This window comes from Homo sapiens, chromosome 19 (assembly GCF_000001405.40).
Source record: "Homo sapiens chromosome 19, GRCh38.p14 Primary Assembly".
Classification (NCBI taxonomy): Eukaryota; Metazoa; Chordata; class Mammalia; order Primates; family Hominidae; genus Homo; species Homo sapiens.
This window is the reverse complement of record NC_000019.10, coordinates 50,825,289-50,849,202: the sequence shown is the minus strand read 5'-3', so window position 1 is coordinate 50,849,202 and position 23,914 is coordinate 50,825,289. Positions and strand designations below refer to the sequence as shown.

At 50.5% G+C, this 23,914-nt stretch overlaps 1 protein-coding gene and 1 long non-coding RNA gene across 10 annotated transcripts in view, besides 8 other annotated features; one reads left to right on the top strand and one right to left on the bottom strand.

Moving 5' to 3' along the window:
* Positions 1-40: part of a biological region, named in NCBI's record as "KLK3 upstream enhancer/promoter region", that runs on past the window's edge. NCBI's record gives its function as "regulatory_interactions: KLK3".
* Positions 1-40: part of a promoter, noted in NCBI's record as "6 kb HindIII fragment", that runs on past the window's edge. NCBI's record gives its function as "directs prostate specific expression" and the evidence as "EXISTENCE:transgenic organism evidence [ECO:0001131][PMID:9259317]".
* Positions 1-18,673, bottom strand: part of LOC105372441 (uncharacterized) — a 20,614-nt gene extending 1,941 nt beyond the window's left edge. The window contains exons 1-2 of one of the 2 annotated variants that reach the window (NR_131205.1): positions 18,639-18,673; positions 17,910-18,104 (exon numbers count right to left, since the gene is read on the bottom strand). This is a non-coding gene — a long non-coding RNA (uncharacterized LOC105372441). The remainder of the gene's footprint in view (positions 1-17,909; positions 18,105-18,638) is intronic. The other variant, NR_131203.1, reaches the window with a different exon arrangement.
* Positions 4,266-4,787: an enhancer, noted in NCBI's record as "H3K4me1 hESC enhancer chr19:51347672-51348193 (GRCh37/hg19 assembly coordinates)". NCBI's record gives its function as "activates a minimal SCP1, AML or CMV promoter by ChIP-STARR-seq in naive H9 embryonic stem cells {active_cell/tissue: H9 hESC(naive)}" and the evidence as "EXISTENCE:reporter gene assay evidence [ECO:0000049][PMID:30033119]".
* Positions 4,788-5,310: an enhancer, noted in NCBI's record as "H3K4me1 hESC enhancer chr19:51347149-51347671 (GRCh37/hg19 assembly coordinates)". NCBI's record gives its function as "activates a minimal SCP1, AML or CMV promoter by ChIP-STARR-seq in naive H9 embryonic stem cells {active_cell/tissue: H9 hESC(naive)}" and the evidence as "EXISTENCE:reporter gene assay evidence [ECO:0000049][PMID:30033119]".
* Positions 8,596-8,783: a silencer, noted in NCBI's record as "fragment chr19:51343676-51343863 (GRCh37/hg19 assembly coordinates)". NCBI's record gives its function as "represses an EF-1alpha promoter that drives an FKBP-Casp9 reporter gene in an ReSE screen in K562 erythroleukemia cells {active_cell/tissue: K562}" and the evidence as "EXISTENCE:reporter gene assay evidence [ECO:0000049][PMID:32094911]".
* Positions 10,655-10,784: a silencer, noted in NCBI's record as "silent region_10982". NCBI's record gives its function as "represses an Ori minimal core promoter by ATAC-STARR-seq in GM12878 lymphoblastoid cells {active_cell/tissue: GM12878}" and the evidence as "EXISTENCE:reporter gene assay evidence [ECO:0000049][PMID:35858748]".
* Positions 12,770-12,819: an enhancer, noted in NCBI's record as "active region_15003". NCBI's record gives its function as "activates an Ori minimal core promoter by ATAC-STARR-seq in GM12878 lymphoblastoid cells {active_cell/tissue: GM12878}" and the evidence as "EXISTENCE:reporter gene assay evidence [ECO:0000049][PMID:35858748]".
* Positions 12,980-13,239: a silencer, noted in NCBI's record as "silent region_10981". NCBI's record gives its function as "represses an Ori minimal core promoter by ATAC-STARR-seq in GM12878 lymphoblastoid cells {active_cell/tissue: GM12878}" and the evidence as "EXISTENCE:reporter gene assay evidence [ECO:0000049][PMID:35858748]".
* On the top strand, positions 15,629-23,914 carry KLK15 (kallikrein related peptidase 15). 8 transcript variants are annotated; one of them, NM_001277081.2, is made up of 6 exons: positions 15,629-15,676; positions 17,680-17,753; positions 21,391-21,541; positions 22,042-22,325; positions 22,446-22,582; positions 23,255-23,914. In NM_001277081.2, the coding sequence occupies exons 2-6, from the start codon at positions 17,711-17,713 to the stop codon at positions 23,405-23,407; spliced, it is 768 nt and encodes a 255-aa protein (NP_001264010.1). In that variant the 5' UTR covers positions 15,629-15,676; positions 17,680-17,710; the 3' UTR covers positions 23,408-23,914. The 8 variants fall into 8 exon arrangements, 7 of the variants coding, with proteins under 7 accessions (NP_001264010.1, NP_059979.2, XP_047295020.1 ...); NM_017509.4 differs by having other exon boundaries at positions 21,388-21,541; XM_047439064.1 differs by lacking the exon at positions 22,446-22,582 and having other exon boundaries at positions 22,042-22,207.

The window sequence follows — 23,914 nt, the reverse complement described above, 5'->3', positions numbered from 1 at the left end:
GCTTTCCACGATGTCACCGGGAAAAGAAAACTAGAAGCTTCGCACTTTGAGTTCTCCTTGTCTTTGCCTCATTCACCTCTCCCTTGCCAGATTTTCATCTGTATCCTTTTGCTGTAATAAACCACAACCATGAGCATCCTAGCAAACGACTGAACCTTAAGGATGATCTTTTGGACTCTCCTGGAATCTCAACTGATGTCAATGGAGGGTCATCTTGGGAAGCCCTAAACTGTACAGGAACTGTTATTATTTCCACTTTAAAGTACAATAACATGAGTCACAGAGATGTTAGGTCACTAGAAACTGGCAAAGCCGGGATTGCCCATTATATAGACAGAAATCCAGGAAATATATGTGGGAATGCATATTAAGGGTTGGTATGGAATAATGGTGGAAGGAATATAAGGTTAGATCAGGCTGAATTTATTAATATGGACCCACTACACAGAAATATTGGGTTTAACATTGCAACTAGAGGAATTAGAAAGGGCTCTAACGATTAATTTGCTTGATTGGTTGAAAACAGTACCATGAAGTGGCCTATTCTGTGTGAAGTTGAAATGCCAGAACGGATCACGGGTAAAGAATCCAGCTCTGCAAAGCAGAACGCAGACTGCAGGTGTTCAACTAAAGATAATAGATTCCAGATTCCAGACTCCTCAGGGGCAGACTTTAGGATTCAAGGCAGATAGTAAACCCCACGCAGCAGATGAGCATGTCAGATCTGTGTTCCGGAAGCCAGCCCCACACTGCTGCAGCCAAGCCTCAGATCCCAGCTCCAAATTCCAGAATCTAGGCTCCAGAAGCCAAGCTCCAGGTTCTACACTCCCACACTCTAGAATTCAGGAAAATGTCTAGAACGGTGGTTCTCAAACATTTGCCATCTCAGGACATGTTTACACTCTTAAGAATTATTGGGCTGGGGCCAGGCGCTGTGGCTCACGCCTGTAATCCCAGTACTTTGGGAGGCCGAGGAGGGCAGATCACGAGGTCAGGAGATCGAGACCATCCTGGCCAACATGGTGAAATCCTGTTTCTACTAAAAATACAAAAAAATTAGCTGGGTGTGGTGGCACACACCAGTAATCCCAGCTACTCGGGAGGATGAGGCAGGATAATCACTTGAACCTGGGAGGCAGAGAGTGCAGTGAGCCGAGATCGTGCCACTGCACTCCTGCCTGGTGACAGAGCAAGACTCCGTCTCAAAAAAAAAAAAAAAAAAGGGAATTATTGGGCCGGGCATGGTGGCTCACGCCTGCAATCCCAGCACTTTGGGAGGCTAAAGCAGGTAGATCACCTGAGGTCAGGAGTTTGAGACCAGCCTGGCCAACACGGTGAAACCCCATCTCTACTAAAAATACAAAAATTAGCCGGGCGTGATGGCAGGCACCTGTAATCCCAGCTACTCAGGAGGCTGAGGCTGGAGAATCACCTTAACCGGGAAGGCAAAGGTTGCAGTGAGCCAACATTGTGCCACTGCACTCTACCCTGGGTAACAAGAGCAAAACTCCATCGAAAAAAAAAAACAAAACAAAAGAATTACTGAAGGCCTTTCATGGGTTTTTGTTTATATTAACTATATCTATTGATACCACAGTAGATATTAAAACTGAGAAATCTTTAAAATATTCAGTTATTAATTTATTTTTAAATAACAATAATAAATATGTTAACATAATGTATTTTAATGAAAAATAGCTATATTTTAAGAAAAAAACTAGTGAGAAAAAATGTTATGCACTTTTGCAAGTCTCTTTAATGTCTGGCTTAATAGAAGGCAGCTGGACTCTCATATCTGCTTCAGGGTTTAATTTGCTACAATATCACAGCATGTAGGCTCTGGAAAATTCCACCTTGTGCTTGTGAGAGAATAAGAGTGAGAAAGGTGCCAGGCGTGGTGGCTCACACCTGTAATCCCAGCACTTTATCAGGCCAAGGCGGGCGGATCATCTGAGGTCAGGAGTTCAAGACCAGCCTGGACAACATGGTGAAACTCCGTCTCTACTAAAAATACAAAAATTAGCCAGGCGTGGTGGCGGGCGCCTGTAATCCCAGCTACTTGGGAGGCTGAGGCAGGAGAATCACTTGAACCCGGGAGGCAGAGGTTGCAGTGAGCTGAGATTGTGCCACTGCACTCCAGCCTGGGCAACAAGAGTGAAACTCCATCTCAGAAAAAAAAAAAAAAAAAAAAAAAAAAGAGTGAGAAAGGTAAATAATGTGTACAGATTATTATGAAACTAGTGTTTGACCTCGCATACCCCCAGAAAGGTCTCAGGAATCCTTCCACTCCAGAGTTCCAGAATCTCCACTATAACAGCCTGAGATGGTCAGAGAGGCCCTCCCCCAGGGACAGAGAGGGACACAGAAGGACATACAGAGATGAATATGGTGCTTTTCTTCAAGATTACCATCATGTTTTCTCTTTATTGAGTACTACTTCATACCATATTTCATGTTGATCAGGTTTTCTGAGGTCTTCAGCTTCTTAAAAACAAAAAAAGAATAAAAGATTCTTAATATAAACTTAGGTATAACCCAGATTAATCTAATGGGAAAAGAAATAACAAATGTAAATAGCGAATCTAAATGATAAAAGGAATAATACGGGAACTATTCAAAAGAGTATACAGTACCAAAATCAATGCAAAATTTAGAAGATGTGGAATTTTTTAATTTAGCAATTGTCTTAAATGCCTTATAAAGTTCTTCTCCTACATTCTTTTGTCCTCATACTCTTCAGTTATCTCTGCTTATCATCAAATGATTTTGTAATCTGATTTTCTTTTTCTTTTCTTTTTTTTTTTTTTAGACAGAGTCTCGCTCTGTCGCCCAGGCTGGAGTGCAGTGGTGCGATCTTGGCTTACTGCAACCTCTGCCTCCCGGGTTCAAGCAATTCTTCTGCCTCAGTCTCCCGAGCAGCTGGGACTACAGGCGCATGCCACCACACCTGGCTAATTTTTGTATTTTTTTTTTTAGCAGAAACGGGGTTTCACCATGTTGGCCAGGCTGATCTTGAACTACTGACCTCATGATCCGCTCACCTTGGCCTCCCAAAGTGCTAGGATTACAAGTGTAAGCCACCACACCCGGCCTGTAATCTCATTTTCTAGGGGAAGAAAAATAATTTCATTTTTATCATATTTGATCAAAATCTGTTTTTCATTATTAATCCTTTAGAAACATTTCTTTCAGCTTCAAAGCTTTTATTTATTTAAATTTCATATGATTTGTCTAGGATTCTTGCCCAATTTGGGGAGAAATAATAGTAAGTTTCTTTCAAATGTCAGCTGAAAGATTTCAGGACATTTCAAGTGTTCTGATCCACCAATTAATCTAACACGGTTTATAAGCTAATGACACTAGTTTATCGTTCCTTTTCTTATTGAGGGATATTATTATGAGTTTATGTTATCTTCATCAAGTCACAGTTGTGACAACTAGCAAATATCAGTTAAATGAGAAATTAATGAATAGCTATATAGATGGGATGAGATACAGAAACAGATGGACAAACAGAGAGGGTTAGAGAGGCTAGAAAATATGAGAGATAACCTTTGTTATCTAACACAAAGAAAAGGCTTCTTGACACAACTTCAGAAGCACAAATCATAGACCAAAATTTGGATGTACTTCATTATAGGAAAATTTAGAATTTTTGCTTAGAGGGCACTGTCATCCAGAAACTTGTATAAGAATTCAGAATTTCTATTTATAAAAGATGACTTATACAATGTTCAAAACCAAAAAGAGATCACCATTTAGAAGGCACAAGAAACTTCTGACATGAACAAGAGAGCAACCCCTAAAAAAATGGACAAAGCATATGAACAGGCAATTAATAAAAAAGAAAAGTCAAGTGGGGGGAGGGATAGCATTAGGAGATATAACTAATGTAAATGACGAGTTAATGGGTGCAGCACACCAACATGGCACATGTATACATATGTAACAAACCTGCACGTTGTGCACATGTACCCTAGAACTTAAAGTATAATTAAAAAAAACAAACATATATATATATATATATATATATATATATATATATATATATATATATATAAAGAAAAGTCAAAAAGCTAATGTGGGGAGAAAATGGTGGCTAGGAAGCAGGACTAACTTGCAGCTCCCACTCAGATGGACAGAGCAGCATGTGGAGACTCACGTCTTGAATTTTTGCTCCAAGAACTACTGCAGGAACATACCAGGAAAGCCAAGAGAACCCACAGACCCTTTGAAGGAAGCACATTGCTGCTGCAGGCTCCAGGAGACAGCTGAAAAACTGTGAGTGCTCAAAGTGTGAAAAGTGTGAAGGGGGGATCATCCGCCCCTGCACACACATCCTCACTGGGGAATCTGAAGGTCCAGATCATGGGAGAAGGATTTGACCTTACCTGGAGCCGAGATGAACTTAGAGAGCTGAATGAAATACGGGGGGTAGAGAAAGCAGCAGGAAGAGCCCTGAGGGTACTGTTGGTCCCCAGGGAAGCCATTTCTGACTTCATCTCACAGGGGTCCTTGGGGAGGGCTGCCAACGGAATTGGGGAAAGACTACAGGGAGAAGGAAGCTTCCAGCTGAACTTTGCAACAATTTCAACTGAACACGAAGTTTCCTGGACAGAACTCAGGGGAGGGGGTGAACTGTGAGTGCAGACATGAGCACAGAAGCTGCAGCAGGTGGGGAGGCACGAAACCTGAAAGCCCTGCTTGCTTTCTCAGCAGGGAGGCTTGTAGCCTGGGGCGAGTTCCCAGCCCTGCGCACCTGCTGCCTGCAAACAAACTGTGCATTGATTGGGGATGCACACAGTGGGAATGAGACCAGCTTTTTGGGCTGCATGGGAGCTGGGTGAGCCCTGAAACTGCTGGCTTTCTCCCACTTCCCTGGTGACCCACATGATGCAGTAGAGGCAGCCATAATTCCCCTGGGAACATAACCTCATTGGCCTGAGAACCACACCCCACCCCCACACAGCAGCCACAGCGACCCTTACCCAAGGAGAGTCTGAACTCAGACACCCCTAACCCTGCCCCCACCTGATGGTGTTCCTCTACCTGCCCTAGTAGCCAAAGACGAAGGACATACTCTCTTGGAAGCTATCTGGCCCCATCCTCCACCTGAGAAACCTGAATACTTATCCAGGTAACCCTAGGGCAAGCTGTTTTCCTCCCTGTACTACTGCAGCTGATGCTGTCTTGAAAGTGCCGTCTCCTGGCTGGAGGCCAACCAACACAAAACCAGCGCACTAAAAAATAATACAACCAAGGAACCCCAGCGAGTCTACTTTACTCCTCTGTTACCTCCAACGGAGCAGGTGCTGATATCCACAGCTAAGAGACCTGAAGATGAATCACATCACAGGACTCTTTGCAGACACCCCCCAGTACCAGCCCAGAGCGCAGACGCTCCACTGGGTAGCTAAATCCAGAATCTGAGCAGCCCTTGAGACCCAGATCTTCCTTCTGACATAGTCTACAAAGGAGAAGGAACCAGAAAACCAATTCTGGTAATACGACAAAACAAGGTTATTTAACACGCCAAAAAGATCACACCAGCTCACCAACAATGGATCCAAACCAAAAAGAAATCTCTGAAATTGCCAGAAAAAAAAAAAATCAGAAGATCAATTACTAAGCTACTCAAGAAGGCACCAGAGAAAGGTGAATACCAACTTAAAGAAATTTTAAAAAGTGTTACCGGATATGGACAGAAAAATCTCCAGAGAAATAGCGTAAATCAAAAACAATTACAATTTCTGGAAATGAAGGACACACTTAGAGAAATGCAAAATACACTGGAAAGTCTCAGCAATAGAATCAAACAAGTAGAAGAAAGAACTTAAGAGCCCAAAGACAAGACTTTTGGATTAACCCAATCCAACAAAGACAAAGAAAAAAGTATTTTTAAAAAATGAACAAGACCTCCAAGAAGTTTGGGATTATGTTAAACAACCAACCTAAGAATAATTCATGTTCCCAAGGAAGAAGATAAATCTAAAAGTTTGGAAAACATATTTGAGGGGAATAATCTTCCTTGGCCTTGCTAGAGATCTAGATATCCAAACATGAGAAGCTCAAAGAACGCCTGGGAAATTCATTGCAAAAAGATGACCACTGGTCGGGCGTAGTCGTTCACGCCTGTAATCCCAGAACTTTAAGAGACTTAGGCAGGCCAATCACAAGGTCAGGAGATCGAGGCCATCCTGGCTAACACAGTGAAACCCCTTCTCTACTAAAAATATAAAAAAGTAGCCGGGTGTGGTGGCACGCACCTGTAATCCCAGCTACTCGGGAGGCTGAGGCGGAAGAGTCTCTTGAACCCGGGAGGCGGACGTTGCAGTGAGCCGAAATCGCACCACTGCACTCCAGCCTGGGCAACAGAGTGAGACTCCATCTCAAAACAAAACAAAACAAAAAAAAGATGACCCCCCTAGGCACATAGTCATCAGGTTATCTAAAGTCAAGATGAAGGAGCATCAGGTAACCTATAAAGGAAAACCTATTAGATTGACAGCAGATTTCTCAGCAAAAACCCTACAACCTAGAAGGGATTGTGGTCCTGTCTTTAGCCTCCTTATACAAAACAATTATCAGCCAAGAATTTTGTATCCAGTGAAACTATTGGCAGAACACACAACAACTCCGGGTCAGAGACAAAGGACTTTATTACTCATGGCACAGCCGGCAGCATGAGATTCATGTTCACATGGGCTCACCTTGCCCCCCAGGTCCTACAGGGATGATCAGAGTGGCTCAGGCAGATGCTGCGCACACAGTGGTTTGCGTCAATGCTGGGGAACCTCTGTTTACATGTATTTACAAATCTTCAATCTTATAAGGGAGATGCAAGGAAATCTGCTTGACTTTGAAACTCGGAGAGATATTATCTTTGTTATGTCGGACTGCTGATCCACCTGCCCCGGAAGGACATGTTGTATTTACTATCCTAGCCAATAAATAAATCATTATGGAAGGACATTATCTTTATTATCTAAGACAGTGAACAAACATGCTCTGATGCTCTAGAGAAACATCCATAAAAAGACAATCTGGAACTCAAAAGTGGCTAATACCTTTTTCAGGAGACAGGCAGAAAGGTAAGAGAGCCATGGATAATTGTCTCCTAACACCATTCAGTTCATGCTCTCGATGCTTCCCTACAGGATAATCTCAGGCTTCCCAACCAGGCATTCAAAGTGCAGGCATTTGGTCTGGGATACAAAACCCAGCCTCAGTTTACCTGGTTTTTTTGTTTGCTTGTTTGTTTGTTTTTGAGACAGAGTCTCACTCTGTCACCCAGGCTGGAGTACAGTGGTGCGATCTCGGCTCACTGCAACCTCCACCCCACCATGGGTTCAAGCGATTCTCCTGCCTCAGCCTCTTGAGTAGCTGGGATTACAGACACACACCACCACACCTGGCTAATTTTTGTATTTTTAGTAGAGACAATGTTGGCTAGGCTGGTCTCAAACTCCTGACCTCAAATGATCCGCCCGCCTCAGCCTCCCAAAGTGCTGGGATTACCGGCGTGAGCCACCACGCCTGACTTGATCCTGTCTTTCTCATGCTATCTTCTCACTCCCCGTTTCTCACGGTTTTCTGCCTTCACCATTCCCTCCCTCTTTTGATGCCTCTTCCTCACTCCAGTCCTTACTTTATCTCTTCTACACTCCCCGACTCCACCCTCCTTTGTTTTTGCCCGGTCCCTATTTCTGCAGGCTTCTCTTTCCAGCTCCCCGTGTCTCCTTCTCTAGACAGGAAGCACCCATCTAAAAAGGTGAATGCTCCTGCAGTGAACAATCATCTCCAGGCCCACCTGGCCAAGGCTAGAGCATCCCCCAGCCCTCCTGACCTGCGTCCTGAGGTGTGGAGTCAGGTGCAGGGGAGAAAGGAAGCTTCAGTGACAGGTATAGCCCAGTGGTTCCCCAATGGGGCAAAGTTGTCCCCTCCACCCGCCCCACCCTCCTCCACCCATCCAGGGGCACACTGGCATTTTCTGGCAATCTCATCACATTCAGGTTCTGCAAAGACACACATCGGGGGGGTTGCCACTTTATTTGTGGGGTGCAGAGATGGAGGAAGAGAGAGGAGAGAGGGTCTGCCCTGAGATAGTAGACAGTGACAGGTGGTAATGCTCTCCACGGACCACTGAGAGGGACCTGGGGACGCAACGCGCCACACACACAGCAAGGGTGGAGCTGAAACCTGGCAAGAGCCACATTATTCTTTTTTTGCTAATTTGTAATTGTTGTGGGTACATAGCAGGTGGATATATTTATGGGGTACATGAGATATTTTAATATAGGCATATAATGTGTAATAATCACATGAGGGTAAATGGGGTATCCATTACCTCAAGCATTCACCCTTTGTGTTACAAACAATCTAATTATATTCTTTTTGTTGTTTTTAAATGTACAATTAAATTATTATTGACCACAGTCACCCTGTTGTGCTATCGAATACTAGATCTTATTCTATTTCCTCGTACCCATTAACCATCCGCACTTCCCCACTACCCACATACCCTCACCCTCCCCAGCCTCTGATAACTATGCTTCTACTGTCTATCTCCATTAACTCAGTTGGTTTTGTTTTTGTTTTTTGTCCCTATTTCTCCAGGCTTCTGGAGATGGAGTCTCGCTCTGTCTCCCAGGTCGCTGGAGTGCACTGGAGAGGTCTTGGCTCACCACAACCCCCTCCTCCCAGGTTCAAGCACTTCTGTGTCTCAGCCTTCCAAGTAGCTGGGAATACAGGCACGCGCCACTGCGCCTGGCTAATTCTTGTATTTTTAGTGGAGACAGGGTTTCACCATGTTGGCCAGGCTGGTCTTGAACTCCTTACCTCAGGTGATCCACCTGCTTCAGCCTCCCAAAGTGCTGGGATTACAGGTGTGAGTGCCCGGCTAATTGTTTCAATTTTTAGCTCCCAAAAATAAATGAGAACCTGTGAAGTTTATCTTCTGTGCCTGACTTATTGCACTTAACATCATAACCTCCAGTTCCATCCATGTTGCAAATGACAGGCTCTCATTCTTTCTGATGGCTGAATAGTGTTCCACTGTGTATATGTACCACATTTTCTGTATCCATTCATTTGTTGATGGACACTTAGGTTGTCTCTAAATCTTAGCTATTGGGAATAGTGCTGCAATAAACATCATTCTTGGCAATACCACAGCCAGCTTTCCTGCACTGGGAGGTGGGGTGTTCCATGATGACTTTTTACAATCTCAGCCTGGGCAACATATCAAGACCCCATCTCCACAAAAAAAAAAACAAAACGTAAAAATTAGCCAGGTATGGTGGCACACACTTGTAGTCCCAGCTACTCGGGAGGCTGATACCAGAGGATCGCTTAAACCCAGGAGTTTGAGGTAGCAGTGAGCTATGATTGCACCATTGCACTCCAGCCTGGGCAACAGAGCAAGACCCCAACTCTAAAAAATAAAAACTAAAAGAAGCTGACAGGATCACGGGGAGAGGGGAGCAGAAACACAGACATGGGGAAAGTGAGCAGGAGTCACGGGAGGGAGAAGACACACGTCTCCCCAGCTCCCTCCTCCCTCAGACCCCCCAGCCCCTCCTCCTTCAGACCCAGGAGTCCAGGACCCCAGCCCCTCCTCCCTCAGACCCAGGAGTCCCAGATCCCAGCCTCTCCTCTCTCAGACCCAGGAGTCCAGGCACCAGCTTCTCCTCCCTCAGACCCAGGAGTCTGGGCCTCCACCTCCCTCCTCCCTCAGACTCCCCAGCCCCTCCTCCTTTAGACCCAGGAGCTCAGGACCCCAGCCCCTCCTCCCTCAGACCCAAGAGCAAACCTCCTATGAACAAACGCAGAAGGGAAGCTTCCAGAAAGGGAAGAGGAGGGAGCTGGAAAGTGGGCTGGGGGCTCAGGACTCTAGCGAAGAGGTCTATGGGTGGGGGTGGAACACAGAGAGGGAGACGCAGGCAGGGCAGGCCTTTCTCTCCCAGCCCCAGAGTGCAGGACCCAGGAGTCCAGGCCCCAGCCCCACCTCCCTAAGATGCCCCAGCCCCTCCTCCCACCGACCCAGGAGTCCGGGTCCCTAGCCTCCTCCTCCCTCAGACCCAGGAGTCCAGACTCCAGCCCCACCTCCCTTAAACCCCCCAGCCCCACCTCTCTCAGACCTCCCCAGCCCCAGCTCCCTCAGACCCAGGAGTGCGGGCCCCCAGCCCCTCCTCCCTCAGACCCAGGAGTCCAGACTCCAGCCCTACCTCCCTCAAACCCCCCAGCCTCCTCCTCCCTCAGACCCCCCAGCCCCTCCTCTCTCAGACCCAGGAGTGCAGGCCCTCAGCCCCACCTCCCTCAGACTCAGGAGTTCAGACCCTAGCCCCTCCTCCCTCAGATCCCCCAGGCCTTTCTCCCTCAAACCCAGGAGTCCGGGCCCTCAGTCCCACCTCCCTCAGACCCAGGAGTCCAGACCCCAGCCGCTCCTCCCTTGGACCCAAGAGTCTGAGTCCCCAGCCCCCTCCTCCCTCAGACCCCCCAGCCCTTCTTCCTTGAGACCCAGGAGTCCTGGACACCAGCCACCCGTCCCTCAGTCCCAGGAGTCCCGGCCCCCAGCCTCTCCTTTCTCAGACCCAGGAGTCCAGGCACCAGCCTCTCCCTCCTCAGACCCAGGAGTCCAGGCCCCCAGCCCCTCCTCCCTCAGACCCAGGAGTAAAACTGCTATGAACAAACGCACAATTGATGCCACCTATCGGTAAGGCCCTCCCAGGACAAAAGAAGAGAAGATGTGGGTTTTTCTGCCTCCTCCCCTCCAGCTTCCCCCAGCACAGCCCAGGAAATAAAGTCTCAGAGAAGAACTCGTCTGCGTGTGACATTCTCTTTGCTTGACGTCACACTCTCATACCAGGGTCTCACACCTCCATTTCCTCTCCCTGGGCCTCAGTTCCCCCATCTGTAAAACAGGGGTCTTGATAAAGGGGTCACAGGGATTCAGAAAAAGATACCACATCTGGGAGATCAAAACAGTGGCTTCTGGCTGGGCGCGGTGGCTCACGCCTGTAATCCTAACACTTTGGGAGGCCAAGGCAGGTGGATCACTTGAGGTCAGGAGTTCAAGACCAGCCTGGCCAACACTGTGAAACCCCAACTCTACTAAAAATACAAAAATTAGCCGGCTGTGCTGGTGGGTGCCTGTAATCCCAGCTACTCAGGAGGCTGAGGCAGGAGAATCGCTTGAACCCAGGAGGCGGAGGTTGCAGTGAGCCAAGATCATGCCATTGCACTCCAGCCTGGACAACAAGAGCGAGACTCCGTCTCAAAAAAAAAAAAAAACAAAAAACAGAAAACAAAACAAAACAAAAAGCACAGTGGCTTCTTCCAGTGCCAAATCTGCTGCTACCCAACTGTGTCATCTGAGAAAGACCCCACATAACCATCCCTCCCCAGCTTTCAGTTCCCAAGGGTAATAGGACAGACTGATAATGGCCCAGCACTCACTCAGTGCCGGGCACAGATTTCAAGAATGAACACCTCAAAACACTCCCACAGAAGAGGGAGGAGCAATTATTACCCCCACTTTATAGTTGAGGCAGCTGAGGCACAGAGAGGCTAAGTGACTTGCCTGAGGGTGCACAGTATTATGGGACAGAGGCAGAACTCAAACCCGGGCCACCTGGCTCCAGCGGCTACATCTGAATCACGTGCCGTGTTAACCGGTCTTGCAAGCCTCAGCCTGATTTTATGATTCGCACACCTGCTCCATGGGTATGACCTCATCCAACCCCTGTGAGGTCCCTCCCATTTCCACCCCACCGCAACGGAAGACCCCTTCGCAGATGAGCACCTGACACCCAGAGAGCTGATGCTTCTCACAAGGGGCACCAGGACCCCGAGAACCATTCTCTTGATTCCACTTCTGCAGCCTGGGTGACCTTCACCAGTGACCCCCGCACTCCCGTCTGCTCATGTGTTAAATGAATGAATCGTCATAATTTACTATATGCTCTGAGCTCCTAACACAAACTAAGTCGTTACTCCTCGAAAAACTCTACGAGGGGATCCTCTGATTTTAAGGATAAGAAACTGAGACACAGAGAAGAAAAAACTCTTACCAGGGTCTCCCAAAATAGTAAGTAGTGGAACAGAGATCTGCACCCATGCTGTCTGGATCCAGACCCAGCGCCCTGAAACAGCAGCTTGTCTGGTTCCAGAAGGAACGGAGGCCGTGGTGAGACTAAGTTAGAAGAGGGCCAGCACCTCATGGGGAGGCCCTTCGGGCACCACGAGTCCAGTCCCGCTCCGGAGGTGGGCAGTCTGCAGGCCCCCTGAGAAGGGGGTTTGAGGGGAGGCTTTTTCCTGCTGGGGAATCTCAAAGGGCTTAAAACTGCAGACCGAGAAGCCGGGACCTTGCCCAGGGGTGATGGGGAGCTGCAAGGGAAGGCTGTGAGCAGGGGAGGGGCGGGGTGATCTCCAAGTGCAGAGAGACCCTCTAGGGCCACGTGGTGACCGACAGGAGGCTGTCCTCCCGGACAGGAGGAGCGAGGGTCCAGAGAGAGAGGAGGACGTCTGAGCTGGAGCCAGGCCAAGGGGACAGAGAGGAGGGGACGGGGCAGAGAGAGGCAGGGGCCGAAGGGACAAGGCTGGGGACCGATGGGCTGTAGGGGATAAGGGGAGAGATGGGGCAAGGTCAGTGCCAAGGGCGTCTGGCCGAATAACTGGGTGGTCGGTGACGCTGCCCCTGAGATGAAGAACGTGGAAGAACAGGGAAGGAGGGTTTGGGGAAATAGAGCAATGAGTTGGGACTCGGTAAGTGAGAGGGGCCTAGGGACAGTGGTGCAGGGGGCGCCCAGGAGCAGGTGGCTGCCCAAGCCGGAGTTCAGGGTCAGATGGAGGAGACCTGCGTGGTTGGTGGATGAACCACGGGAGTTGATGAAAAACTCCCAGGGAACGTTCTCAGGAGGAGGAGCCGGGCAAAAGTGAGACTCAGGCCGCGGTGGGCGGGACCCAGGCCGCGGTGGAGGTGAAGGACGTCCGCGGACACGTCCAGGAGGACATCGATCGCGCGAGCCTGAGCCAGACACAGTGGGCGGGGACGGGGCGCCGACGTCACCGCGTGGGGGCGGGGCTGCGGGAGCCGCTGGCTGCGCGCCCTCCAGGGAGCCGAGCGCAGACCGGGTGCGCGCCTGGGTTCGGCGCGGCGGGAGCGCCCTCAGTGTCCCCGTCTGTATCAGGGGTGCTTCATCAGTACCTGCCTAGGCTGGTTAGGAGGAGGAGCACGTGCGATCGTGACGGGAAGCGCTCAGCACAGACCTGGCACCGAGGAAGTCCCAGGGGCTCGGCTCCTTTCCCTCGTCACCACCGCGCCCCAACAGAGGGAGGCGGCTGCAGGGGTGGCGGCGAAAGGGCCCACCGGGCGTTCCGGAGTCGGAACACTGATTCCTCTCCCGCGTGGCCTCTCGCTTCTGCAGGAACCTTGCTTGTGCTGCCTCCTGTCTGGGCCTCAGTTTCCTCCGTATTCAGCAGGAAGCCATAAGGTTATTAATATAAACACCTCACAGGGCTGCCGGGAGCCGGAGTGAGATCCTACAAAGAGAGCACTTGGCACGGAGGAGTGGCCTGCAGCCGCATTCCATAAACAGGGCTGCTCAGCTGAAGCGGTGGCCCAGGGTGAGGCCCGCAGACTTTGAGCATCAATTTGTGGGGAGGGAGGCAAAGGGACATAGGAGTTCTAGAATAGCTTCCAACCTGGGGATCTATTATGTCTGCCGGTCTGGGCTTGTAGAATGTCTGGAGACCCGACGTTCTAGAATGCATGAGGTTTCTGGGGACTCCAGAGTGCCCGATGTTCGAAGGTTCTAGAGTGTTTGGAGCTCTGTGGTTCTAGGCTATTCTAAAATCTTACCTTCCAGAGTGTCCTCCACTGCCAGAATGTCTTAGGGCCTGTGCTTTTAGAATCTGAAAGTCTGATATTCTAGAAATTCCAGGGGCCTGTAGTTCTAGAATGGCTGAATCCTTCCCATAAAGATGATGACTTTCCACACATGGGGAGAGACCACGCTTACAACAGGTCCCATCCTTCACTGGGTGACCTGAGTGAGGTCAGTCCCTCCTGTCTTGGGACCTCCTCATTAATTAAGCCAAAATAGACTCTAGATAATTGCTTGGGGCCCTCTGGGGTTCTGAGACATTGGAAGCCAGCCTCAAATACCCAAAGCCTTGGGTCATCTCAGTGATCATCTCCAGCCTCTGGGATGCAGAATCCAGATTTCAAGCTCTAGAACCCAGAAATAAGACTACAGGACCAGAATAGAGACCCTGGGTTCCCAGACTCTAAATTCAGACTCTAGAGTCAAGATTCTAGCAATCTCAGAATCGTGAAAGCCAGGTCCCTGTCTCTCAATTCAGCCTTTTAAAAATTTATTTACTTATTTATTTATTTATTTAGATTTTTCATAGAGATGAGGTATTGCTGTGTTGCCCAGGCTGGTCTCAAACCCTTCAGTTCCAGCAATCCTCCTACCTCAGCCTCCCAAAGGCATGAGTCACTGGGCCCAGCCACAGTCCAGGTTTTCAATGCAAAAACAGATTTGAAACTCCAGACTGTATGTTCCAAAGTCTACTCCTGAAAGCTCAGAGGCTAGATCCACCCTGTAGAATCCAGACCCCAAGCCTGGCATGGTGTCTCACGCCTGTAATCCCAGCACTTTAGGAGGCTGAGTCAGGTGGATCACTTGAGATGAGGAGTTCGACACCAGCCTGGCCAACATGGTGAAACCCTGTCTCTACTAAAAATATAAAAATTAGCTGGGCGTGGTGGTGGTCGCCTGTAATCCCAGCTACTCAGGAGGCTGAGGCAGGAGAATCTATTGAGCCCAGGAAGTGGAGGTTGCAGTGATCTGAGATCACGCTATTGCACTCCAGCCTGGGTGACAAGAGCGAAACTTCATCTCAGAAAAAAAAAAAAAAAGAATCCAGACCCCACAATTCAAAATCCCAAATCTACCATTTGTAGTCTAGGCCCCAGGCTTCTCATAGCAGGTGCAAAGGTTTCCAGCCTCGATTGCCAGATTCCAAACACCAGATTCCAGGCTCCTATTGTGGGTTCTAGATTCGAATGCCCCGGGATCCAGAATCAAGGTTCACGATCTGTCACTCAAAGGCCCGACTCCAGGATCCAGATTCCAGACCCCCAGCCCAAGAACTCAGACTTTGAAATCCATATTCCAGACTGCAGGTCATTAATCTCCAACTCAAGATCCTCAAATCCAGAATCCAAGACCCAGATCCAGAACCAGATCCGGATCCAGAACCCGGGATCCAGAACTCTGCCCCAAGCCCAAGAACAGGGACTTTAGGATCCAGTTTCCACACTCCAGACCCCAAATTCCAGACTCTGTCTTTTGATCTCCTCCTAATTTCTGTTTTTGTCCTCCTGTCCCCTCCCCCTTGAGGAACTGCTCCTGGTGGAGAATTCCTCTTTGTGGACTCAGACAACAGCTTCAACCTAATAAATGCTCATTAGGCCAAGTCTCCCACCCCACCAGCAACCAAGGCGTCTCTGCCTGTAAACCTGACTCTCAGCCACCTCCCACCCCACCCTACACCACCACACCCCCAGACCCAGCTGGGACTGGGAGCTTATAAATTCAGGCATCCTGGTACCTGCTCCCTTCTGGCACCCAAGCTGCCCTAGATGCTGCTGGAGGATCTGGAGGAGGTGAGAGCTTTGAGACAAGACTGAGGGAGGGGCAAAGGGGAGATTCACTGTGCCCTGGTTTCAAGGGGAAACGTTGACCACGCTTGGAGAACTGAGTGTCAAGGGCATGGGTAGATCCACGTGTCCTTTACCAATGCCCCAAATTGAACCTGAACCAAGAAAATGTCCTGGAATGGCCAGAAGGAGCTGCAGTGGTGGGGAGGGAGGGGGATGGAGTGGATCAGGAGGACGTCCCTGAAGTACTTGTATCAGAGCCAAGAACGTGGTCAGGAGTGATCACGGGTTCAAGTCAGTTCAGCACAACCTCCCGGAGGCCTCCTGTGTACCAGGCCCCAGGTGGGGCAGTGCTGAGGTCACAGAAAGAACCTGACCTGAGCCCCATCTTCAAGACCCCCAGATGGAGAAAAGAACAGGCCAGACCTCAGCAAGTATGGGGCATCTGCGCTGTAATGGAGACAGAATGGGTGCTGTGGGATTCAGGGGAGACACCTGTTAGGTGTTGGGGCCTCCCAGAAGAGGTGGGGGCAGAGTGTCAGAGGACAAAGATGAATTTGGAAGATATGGGGAAGAAGGATTTCAATTCACCCTCAAAGCTTCCTGAGGCCTCCCGTGGGTCGGGCCCTGCAGTACTGGAGACCCAGAGTGGAGTCAGACCAGCTCCTCGGGGAGCTGCCAGTCTCGTAGGGGAGGCAGACACCACTGAGGGTCAGGGGAGGTCAGAGAAGGCCTCAAGGAGGAAGCGGGGCTGGAAGGGAATGGCGTTGGATATGCGGTGGGAGGAATAGCCTAAGCATGAAATGGCAGGAGGGAAAATGGCAGCACTGGCTGCGTCTAGGACAAGGTCATGGGAGACCCAGGGAGAGGGGCTGGAAGGGAAGAAGCCACTTTTGTCCTTGAAAGTGAGGCTGGAGCCAGGCAACTCATGCCTGTAATCCCAGCACTTTGGGAGGCTGAGGCGGGTGGATCACTAGAGGTCAGGAGTTCAAGACCAGCCTGGCCAACATGGTGAAACTCCGTCTCTACTAAAATTACAAAAATTAGCTGGGCGTGGTGGCACACACCTGTAATCCCAATTGCTTGGGAGGCTGAGGCAGGAGAATCTCTTGAACCCAGAAGGCAGAGGTTACAGTGAGCGGAGATCACGCCACTCCACTCCAACCTGGGCTACAGAGCCAGACTCCGTCTCAAAAAAAAAAAAAAAAAAGAAAAAAAAAGAAAGAAAGTGAATTTGAAGAGCTGGACTTTATCCTGGTGGTGCCAAGGATCCATGGAGGGTGGTGAGCAGGGGAGGGGCACAGCCAGCTCCAGATGTAGAAAGACCCTTTGGGGTCATGGCTGGAGGGCAAGCTGGTGGAGGGGACTGGACTGGAGGGGGACCCAAAAGGCCAGATAAGAGGGTTGAGATAGACCAGGCGCGGTGGCTCATGCCTGTAATCCCAGCACTTTGGGAGGCCGAGGTGGGTGGATCATGAAGTCAAGAGATTGAGGCCATCCTGGCTAACACGGTGAAACCCTGTCTCTACTTAAAAAAAAAAAATTTCCAAAAAATTAGCCGGGCACGGTGGTGGGCGCCTGTAGTCCCAGCTACTCGGGAGGCTGAGGCGGGAGAATGGTGTGAACCTGGGAGGTGGAGCTTGCAGTGAGCCGACATTGTGCCACTGCACTCCAGCCTGGGTGACAGAGTGAGACTCCGTCTCAAAAAAAAAAAAAAGTTGGGACAGGGGTCCTTGGTGATGATGGAGAGAGATCCAGGGGCTGGTAGCATGGTGCTGGAGGCTGACAGGTGGAGGAGGTGGGGCAGGGTCTGTCCGAGTGCCTAGAGGAAGAGTAAACCTTCCAGAGATGGGGGACCCAGAAGGAAGCGCAGAGTGGGGTTGGGGGAAGGGGATACCGGTGGTCAGAAGAAATTTATTAACAGTGGATGGGATAAGTCTGTGTCTGGAGGGATCCTGGTGGAGGCAGAAGGGTCCTGCCTCACCTGGATTCTCTCACTCCCTCCCCAGACTGCAGCCGAACCCTGGTCCCTCCTCCACAATGTGGCTTCTCCTCACTCTCTCCTTCCTGCTGGCATCCACAGGTGAGGTGGCCCCAGGAGGGGGCCAGGTCTGTGGGAGCAGGTGCCCCCTTCCCAAGCATGTCTGGGCCCAGTGATCTGCCAGCCCCTACCTCACCCAGAGACCACTAAAGATCCTTCCTTCACCCTCCACCTGTGCCAATGTCCCTAAGCCCTTACCGTCAGGTGCTGGTGCTGCTGCTCTGGAGTCGCTATGTTGCCTGGGGCCTCTCGCTGCCCACGACAAGGAACACGGTCCTGGGGTTACACAAACCTGAGCTGAGTCCTGGGGCAACCGCTTCCTTGCTGTGTGTCCTTGAGGGAACTGCTTCACCTCTCTGGGCTTCGAATGCCTTCTCTATAAGACAGCACCCACTTGAGACAATAACAGTGAGGTCTCAATAGCATAACAGAGGTAATATACATAGCAAGCATTAGACAAGTGCTGAGAGGCCAACAGCACAGACAGACTCCAGCTTGAGTCCCACACCTGCCACTCCCTGTCTCTTACAGGGTCTTTGAGGGGATTAAATGTGGTTGTGTGTGAGGCAGAAGCATAAGCCTGGCCCAGGTAGTGCCCCTTCAGGTGTGCAAGCCAGGCACGGTGCTTAGAGCTTACATACAACGTCTATGTGTGGTGGGCACCACCGACCTCATTTGACAAGGGAAGGGGCTGTGGCTCAGAGGGACGGCCACAACATCAAGGTCACCTTGGGTGTCAGGCAAACTCCAGATTGAACTCAGCTGCCACACACCAAGAAATTAATTGTAACCTGATGCCTCTCTTCTGGAGAAATTGGGGGGTGGACTTTCATTAACGTTCTGCCACAAATGACCCTCACTCCTGGGGGCCCCTGAGACCCCCACGCCTCCAGCCTCCCCTCCGGCTCTCTCTGTGCACTCACCTACCTGCCTCGCGCCTGCCTGCTGCGCCCAGCTGGGGCCTCCACCTTCCTCTGGCTTGGACTGGCCAGGTGCAGCCTCGGTGCCCAGCTGTTCAGCCCGTACCCTCCGCCCTTCGGAGGACGACCTCACCCTTCCTTTGTTAAGCCCCTTGTCCACCACATCCGCATTCCCCTGGTCTCACGGGGGCCTTTGGCCCAGTTCCTGACTGTGATGGGGAGAGTGTGGGCATTTGGTCTGGCTGTGCAAATCCTGCCCCTGTGTGGGTGGGAGTGTGCATGGCTTCAACCTTCAGGGGATGCATCCACATTGCCCAGTGGAGAGGGGTCCTGGTCCTGTGACCTTGAATGTCTCTAATCATGTCCTTAAGCATAATGCCATTCTGTGTGTGTGTGTGTGTGTGTGTGTGTACATGCACGTGTGCAGTGGGTATACAAGGCCCTGTATGTTCACATCCTCTCCACATGCATGAGCCAGATCCCCATATGTGAAACCCAATCAGTGACTCCACAGATCTGGCTTGGGGGCTGATCTAGAGATGGATAAATATGTCCTGCCCTGGCTGCCTCTGGCTTCAGCTGCATGTCTTTGACCTTGAATGCCCAGCCCCGTGTCTGGGTGCTGCCCCAGACAGCAAGTCCACATCTGAGTGTTGGCCTTCTGGGTTGGTGTCTGCAGCTCTAACTCTACAAAATGTCTTGTGGGTGAATCACGGTTTTAACCTTGACTTTTTTTTGTTTGTTTGGTTTTTTTTGAGACGGAGTCTCGCTCTGCCGCCCAAGCTGGAGTTCAGTGGTGCAACCTCAGCTCACTGCAACCTCCGCCTCCCAGGTTCAAGCAATTCTGTCTCTGCCTCCCGAGTAGCTAGAATTACAGGCACGCACCACCACGCCCAGCTGATTTTTGTATTTTTATTTATTTATTTATTTATTTTTTAGTAGAGACGGGATTTCACGATGTTGGCCAGGCTGGTCTCAAACTCCTGACCTCAGGTGATCCACCCACCTCGGCCTTGGCCTCCCAAAGTGCTGGGATTACAGGCGTGAGCCACCACACCTGGCCAACCTTGACTATTTATTATAGGTAATTCTGTGCAGATGTCTGACTTATGTTGGCCATCTCCAGGATGGACCTGAACTTTCACACGTATGTCCCTGTGACTAAATCCAGGTGTCATTTGCAAAAAACAACTAATATTATTAAGTAGCTACCAGGGCTAGGTATCACTCACCATACATACACACATGCACACACACACATACACATTCCTACCTCATCCTTACAACAATCTTCATTTTACAGATGAGGAAACAGAGGCACAGACAGGTCGAATAACTTACTCAAAGTTTCACAGCTAGTACATTCGAACCCAGGCTTAAGGACCCATCTTTGTCCAGACCCTGTATGCAAGTGTCTGTGACACTGGATGCCAAGACTCACACTAGAGATGTTGAATTTAGGTCTGAACAATATCCAATTCTGTGTGTGTGTTTGTGTGTGCATGTGTGTGTGTGTATGTATTCATGTCTTAACCATCCATATTCATATACACATATGAACATCTGTGCTGTGATTCTTTTTTTTTTTTTTTTTTTTTTTTTGAGATGGAGTTTCACTCTTGTCACCCAGGCTGGAGTGCAATGGAGCAACCTCCGCTCACTGCAATCTCCGCCTCCCGGGTTCAAGCGATTTTCCTGCCTCAGCCTCCAGAGTAGCTGGGATTACAGGCACCCGCCACCATGCCCAGCTAATTTTTTGTATTTTTGTTAGAGACAGGGTTTCCCCATATTGGCCAGGCTGGTCTCGAACTCCTGACCTCAGGTGATCCACCCGCCTCGGCCTCCCAAAGTGCTGGGATTACAGGCATGAGCCACCGTGCCCAGCCTGTGCTGTGATTCTTGAAGCTGCAACCCATGTGCATGCAAGTGAATTTCAGCTTCCAGTCCTGTCCATAGCTGTACCTAAGTGTGGAAGCTGGATGTGCATGTATGCATGTCCATGACCTTGTATAGCCACATCTGGGACTCATACTGCACACTGAATTTGGCTGACATGTCCAGACTCTGGGGCCAAGGCTGGGTCACACATACTGAGTGGCCACATGCGTTTGACGTCTGTGACAATTTGGTGACCGTGAATGACTGGTTTCAAGTGACCACCTGTCTGAACCTGTATCCAGTGCCCCTGTCTCCACCCCCAACCACAGAGGACTTCTTGCCCTCTGGTCTGTTCCCCTTCCTCTCTCTCCCAGAGTCTTATAGCAAATGGGGTGGGGGCTAGAGTTCTGGAGAAAACAGGCAGCGGTTGTAAATAAACAACAGGGCAGGCGGAGCATGGTGGCTCACACCTGTAATCCCAGCACTTTGGGAGGCTGAGGCGGGCAGAGCATTTGAAGTCAGAAGTTTGAGACTACCCTGGCTAACATGGTGAGACCTCGTCTCTACTAAAAATACAAAAATTAGCCAGGTGTGGTGGCGGGCACCTCAGCTACTCGGGAGGCTGAGGCAGGAGGATCACTTGAACCCAGGAGGCGGAAGTTGCAGTGAGCTGAGATCATGCCACTGCACTCCAGCCTGGGCAAAAGAGTGAGACTCCGTCTCAAAAACAACAACAACAACAAACAAAAACAGGGCAGGGTGTCTTGAGAAGTTAGGGGAAAGGCATAGGCATATAGTAGTTAGGGCAGGGTGCAAGGAAGGTGTAGGAGGCAATGTAAACGTCCCTGTCCTCAGGCATCCTCTACCCCTTCTCTTAGCAGCCCAGGATGGTGACAAGTTGCTGGAAGGTGACGAGTGTGCACCCCACTCCCAGCCATGGCAAGTGGCTCTCTACGAGCGTGGACGCTTTAACTGTGGCGCTTCCCTCATCTCCCCACACTGGGTGCTGTCTGCGGCCCACTGCCAAAGCCGGTATGAAGGCAGGGGCTCAGGGTCCTGAGGGAGCCTGGTTCGGGGGGAAGAGCTCCTAGATTTGGGGGAAGACGGAGGCAGACGCCAGAACTCCTGGGTTCTGAAAGACGAGGAGGCCGGATGTCAAGCCCCTGGGTTAGGAAGGAGTGTGTGTTTCAAAGCCTTCGATCTCTGAAGGAGGAAGGAGAAGACTAGTTCCAGCTTTTGAGCCTCAGTTCTAGGGATGTGAGAATCCTGGATTCGGGGACAGACCAGGAGGGGGCTGGGAGTAGTTGGAGGGGATCGAGTTCTAGGAGTGTGCCTGACTTCAGACTCGTTGGTCCTTGAGGAGCAGGGGCTGGAACCATTGGCTTCAGGGTCTTGGGAAAAGGTAATGGGATGTCGAGATTTCTAAAGGGTCGGGAGACCTCGGGTTGCCCACTCTTTGATCTTTCTGTCCTCTACTTGCGGGTAACCACTGGCCCGCACTCCACTGGCGGGAAAACCACTCGCCCGCACAGCTTCATGAGAGTGCGCCTGGGAGAGCACAACCTGCGCAAGCGCGATGGCCCAGAGCAACTACGGACCACGTCTCGGGTCATTCCACACCCGCGCTACGAAGCGCGCAGCCACCGCAACGACATCATGTTGCTGCGCCTAGTCCAGCCCGCACGCCTGAACCCCCAGGTGCGCCCCGCGGTGCTACCCACGCGTTGCCCCCACCCGGGGGAGGCCTGTGTGGTGTCTGGCTGGGGCCTGGTGTCCCACAACGAGCCTGGGACCGCTGGGAGCCCCCGGTCACAAGGTGCGTGAAAGGATGGAGCTGGATGCGAGGCCTCAAGGAATCCTATGCTCCAGGGCTCTTGGGCGGAGGGGACAAGGGCCGGAATTTATGGATCTGCTCCAAGTCCACTGTCTTCCCCAGTGAGTCTCCCAGATACGTTGCATTGTGCCAACATCAGCATTATCTCGGACACATCTTGTGACAAGAGCTACCCAGGGCGCCTGACAAACACCATGGTGTGTGCAGGCGCGGAGGGCAGAGGCGCAGAATCCTGTGAGGTCAGAGCCTAGAGGGGCCATCAGGCGGAAGAAGAGGGATGGGGACAGGTGTGGGAGTCCGGATGGGGTTGGATTTTCTTTGCTTTGGGCCAGAGAAGATGCTAGGGTTAGGCTTGGAGATGGAGTAGGAAGAGAAGTTAGAATAGGGGTGAGGTTGGAGTTGGGGTTATAGGTGGGGATTGCGTTGTTTGAGGTGGATAATGTGATAGTTAGTTTGAGATGGCATGGGTTGGGGTTGAGAATGGGAATGGTTTGGTTTGATTCTGGGTGGGAAATACGTCAGGGTTGAATTGGGATGAGGTAGATTTTGTTTGGAATGCAGAAGACATGAAGATTGAGATTGGATTTTGAGATGGGCATGGGTTTGATTTGATTTTGAATGGTGAGGATGTGGGCTGAGTTGGATTTAACTTAGTACAGTTGCACTGGAGTTGCATGGGGGTGAGATTGGATATAGGTTGGGTGAGTTGTATTGAGCTGTGTTGAATTGGGGTTGGGGTTGGGGTTGGGTTGGCTCTGTTTGGGATAAACTGGGCTGTATTGAGTTGAGTTGGGTTGGGGTTCCCTGGGATGGGGATGGATTGGGTTTGGGGTGAGATTGCAAATGGTGATTAGGATGAGGATGAATCCAGGAGGTTTCACTCAACCTGAGACCCCCTCTTTTCCCCACAGGGTGACTCTGGGGGACCCCTGGTCTGTGGGGGCATCCTGCAGGGCATTGTGTCCTGGGGTGACGTCCCTTGTGACAACACCACCAAGCCTGGTGTCTATACCAAAGTCTGCCACTACTTGGAGTGGATCAGGGAAACCATGAAGAGGAACTGACTATTCTAGCCTATCTCCTGTGCCCCTGACTGAGCAGAAGCCCCCACAGCTGGCCAGCAGCCCCGCCTGACATGGAACAGAACGGAGCCATCCCCCAAGACCCTGTCCAAGGCCCAGATGTTAGCCAAGGACTTGTCCCACCTGAGGACAAAGCTGGCGCTCAAGGTCACCTGTTTAATGCCAAGATAACAAAGCGCTGATCCAAGTTGCTCTGTAGGAATTTCTGTGACTTTTTTCTGGGGTCAAAGAGAAACCCCGAGACACTGTACACTGTTCCTTTTCACCCACCACCCCGATCCCTAGGTGAGGAGAAGCGGCTTGAAGCAGGGCTCCATTCATTCAACACACATGACCACCCGTGTGATCTTGAACAAGAGGCCCAATCTCACTTCGCCTTGGTTTCCTTATCTGTAAAATGAGACCATCTTATTGCTGACTTCAAAGGGCTGTTGTGAGGATTAAATGAGATGATTCGTCTGAACTGATTAAAATCGTGTCTGGCACTGA

Bases quoted from the DNA above. Each gene is read 5' to 3' on its own strand.
- KLK15 (NM_017509.4), top strand. From the start codon at position 17,711: ATGTGGCTTCTCCTCACTCTCTCCTTCCTGCTGGCATCCACAG. The intron at 21,542-22,041 runs GTATGAAGGCAG...TCGCCCGCACAG, and splicing joins GCGGCCCACTGCCAAAGCCG to CTTCATGAGAGTGCGCCTGG. The intron at 22,583-23,254 runs GTCAGAGCCTAG...TTTTCCCCACAG, and splicing joins GAGGCGCAGAATCCTGTGAG to GGTGACTCTGGGGGACCCCT.